Source organism: Homo sapiens, chromosome 14 (genome assembly GCF_000001405.40).
Source record: "Homo sapiens chromosome 14, GRCh38.p14 Primary Assembly".
NCBI classification, from domain to species: Eukaryota; Metazoa; Chordata; class Mammalia; order Primates; family Hominidae; genus Homo; species Homo sapiens.
In genome coordinates this window covers 66403868-66406399 of record NC_000014.9, presented here as the reverse complement: position 1 = coordinate 66406399, position 2532 = coordinate 66403868, and the positions used below count along the sequence as shown (strand labels likewise).

The 2532-nt window shown below is 39.5% G+C and overlaps 2 annotated features.

The window, feature by feature from the left end:
- Window positions 935–1229: a silencer, noted in NCBI's record as "tiled region #5211; HepG2 Repressive non-DNase unmatched - State 24:Quies". NCBI's record gives its function as "represses a minimal TATA promoter and a strong SV40 promoter by Sharpr-MPRA in HepG2 cells {active_cell/tissue: HepG2}" and the evidence as "EXISTENCE:reporter gene assay evidence [ECO:0000049][PMID:27701403]".
- Window positions 935–1229: an enhancer, noted in NCBI's record as "tiled region #5211; K562 Activating DNase matched - State 9:DNaseU". NCBI's record gives its function as "activates a minimal TATA promoter and a strong SV40 promoter by Sharpr-MPRA in K562 cells {active_cell/tissue: K562}" and the evidence as "EXISTENCE:reporter gene assay evidence [ECO:0000049][PMID:27701403]".

The following is a 2532-nucleotide window of genomic DNA, read 5'->3' as shown; positions in this document are numbered from 1 at the left end:
TAGAAATACGAAGAGAAATTCAAAGAACCATAATCATAGGGGGTGACTTTAATCTCTTTGATAGACAAGCAAACAAAAGTAAATAAGAATATTGAATAATGGTTCATAGTAAGACATATGGCAGCAGCCAAACCTAAAATCAGAGATATTCACAGCTTTAAGTGCTTTTATTAATACACAGGAAAAATGAAAATACATGGATTCAATTATGGCCTCAATTCAAGAGGACATAAAAAAGCCTATATAATTTTAGGAAAGCAAGAGAAAGAAATCAATAAAAATAACAATACATTTAAACAAATAGTAGAATTGATAAATTTACCAACAACCTATTTCAAAAAGATCAATAAAAGACACAAACTCTTGGAAAACCTTATTACAAAAAAAGTAGCAAAAATATCCAAATACACAGCATTAAGAATAAGAATGGTAATATAATCACAGATCTTGAGATCAAAAATATTATTAAAGCTATACTATGTATTACTTAGTACACTTGAAAATCTCAAAAAAAAGGATAATTTTATAGTGATTTTAAAAAAATTAAAGAAGGCCTCATTATGGTTCATGATGTCCTGCAGTTATACTCTGTCATGGAACCAGTAATTCTCCTGTATGACATCTATCATGATGAAATGCAAATTGAATATTCTGAACCATTTCCCCCATTAAACTATTAGCATCCTGAGGGCAAGAACCATGTCTTATGTGATTTTTCATCCTAGAATCTAGCTAAAGGATACAGCAGTACATGCTTAGGGGATGTTTGTTGAAAAAAATTCTCCTTTCCTCCCTCTCTTCCTTTCTTTTTCCCTCTGCTTTTACTTTCCTTCATTATTCTTTTCCTTCTTCAACACCCCAAAGAATAATCAAGAAGCAAGATCCATTTACCTTAGAATAAAGAGCACCTATTTATGTCATTCTTTACAACCTGTTGCTGATCTGTTCTGTATAGATCCCATAGCCCTTCGAAGGAGACATGTGCATGCAGGCTCCTGTGTGGGGTCCACAGAGGTTTTTTCTGCAAGCAATGCTGCTTATCAAGAGCTGCCTGGAGCTGGTGACTCAGAGAATGGCCCAGCAGTCTCTGGCTGTTGCTAGGAAACCACAGTTCCCTTGTGGAACCCAGCACCATACTTGTAGGTTGTCCCTGATAACTTAGAGGAAATGAAGAGCTGTCAAAAAAGGTAGAGGGCAAAACAAAACACTAAAATGAAGAAAGTAATTTTCCTTGCCCAGCACTAAATGACAAGTATCTATGGGGATTAGAGACAAAAATAGTCAATAGAGAGGTTGGCGTCATTAACAAAAAAACACTTTTGCTTTTGCTACTTTTGACGTTGTAAAATGCGCTGCAAGAACACAGCCAAGAAGATGTCTGTACTGTGGGCAGAAAGGGCTTTCTGGAACTTTGGCCATGGAAGGGCCTAGAGAAGTGATGGAGGGTTCTCCCTCAGGATCCATGTCCACACTCTGATTTGGATCTCTCTGGTTACCTGGTTAGCTGACTTTTGCAAGTGAATGCCTTCCTTGACTTCCAACACATCTTTGACCAATTGCAAATTAGTGTTGCCAAGGAACACCCAAAGAAGAAACAGCAGAAGGAGAATAATAAAACCTTACAGCAGTGGTTCTCAAAAGTGACTGTGTATATGAGTTACTGGAGAGTTTTTTACACACAGACTGCTGGGTCCTATCCCCAGAGAGTCTGATTCAGGAGACTAAAGTGGGGACTGAGAATGTACATTTCAAATTAAGTTCCCAGGTGATATTGATGCTGCTGGTCCTGTGACCACACTTGGAGAACCTCTGCCCTAGACTATTGGATCTTGCAGGAAATTGACAAATCGCTTAACTGATTAAAAACAAACCAGAGGTTCAAAGAGGAGGTGGTGGATCAACCAAGATCACTTTTGCTACTGGTGGTGGGCTCAAACCCAGGCTTCCTGAATTGAACACCAAAGCTTTCTCCACTACAAAATGCTCTTCAAGCTGTGCTCTTTAAAAATTCTCCAAAAGACACCAGATGGCTGCCAACAGGGGTGGTCCTACCAAGTGAATGCCAAGTTGCTAAATCCAACCCTGATAGCAACAGCTTTGAATATGAAGCCAGAGACAGTTTGCAAAAGCCTTTGTGTTCTTCGCAGCGTTGTCTCTCATCTTTCTAAATACTGTAGATAGAAAAGGAAGCACGTTGAGGAGGAGCAGACACAGCTAAGCAGGGCTCCAACACATTTCCAAAGGGGCATGCCTCCAGTGCCATGCTGCTAAGCTAGGGCTGCTAGTGGGAAGCCCCATTGACTTTGGATGCAAACCACAAAGCAGTCTCCTCTGCCACCACTGACTACTCCCTGCCTGCAGCCCCTGTATGTGCTGAGATGGCTTCAGAGATAAATTTAAAACTTAAAAAAATGCATTCTTTCTACTTTTGCTTGAATATGGGCTTCATCAGCCATCAAGGCTAATTGTAAGCTGCAGGATGCAAAAAGAATTAAAGTTAGCCAAACAACATTTGATTAACAAGACCTGGTG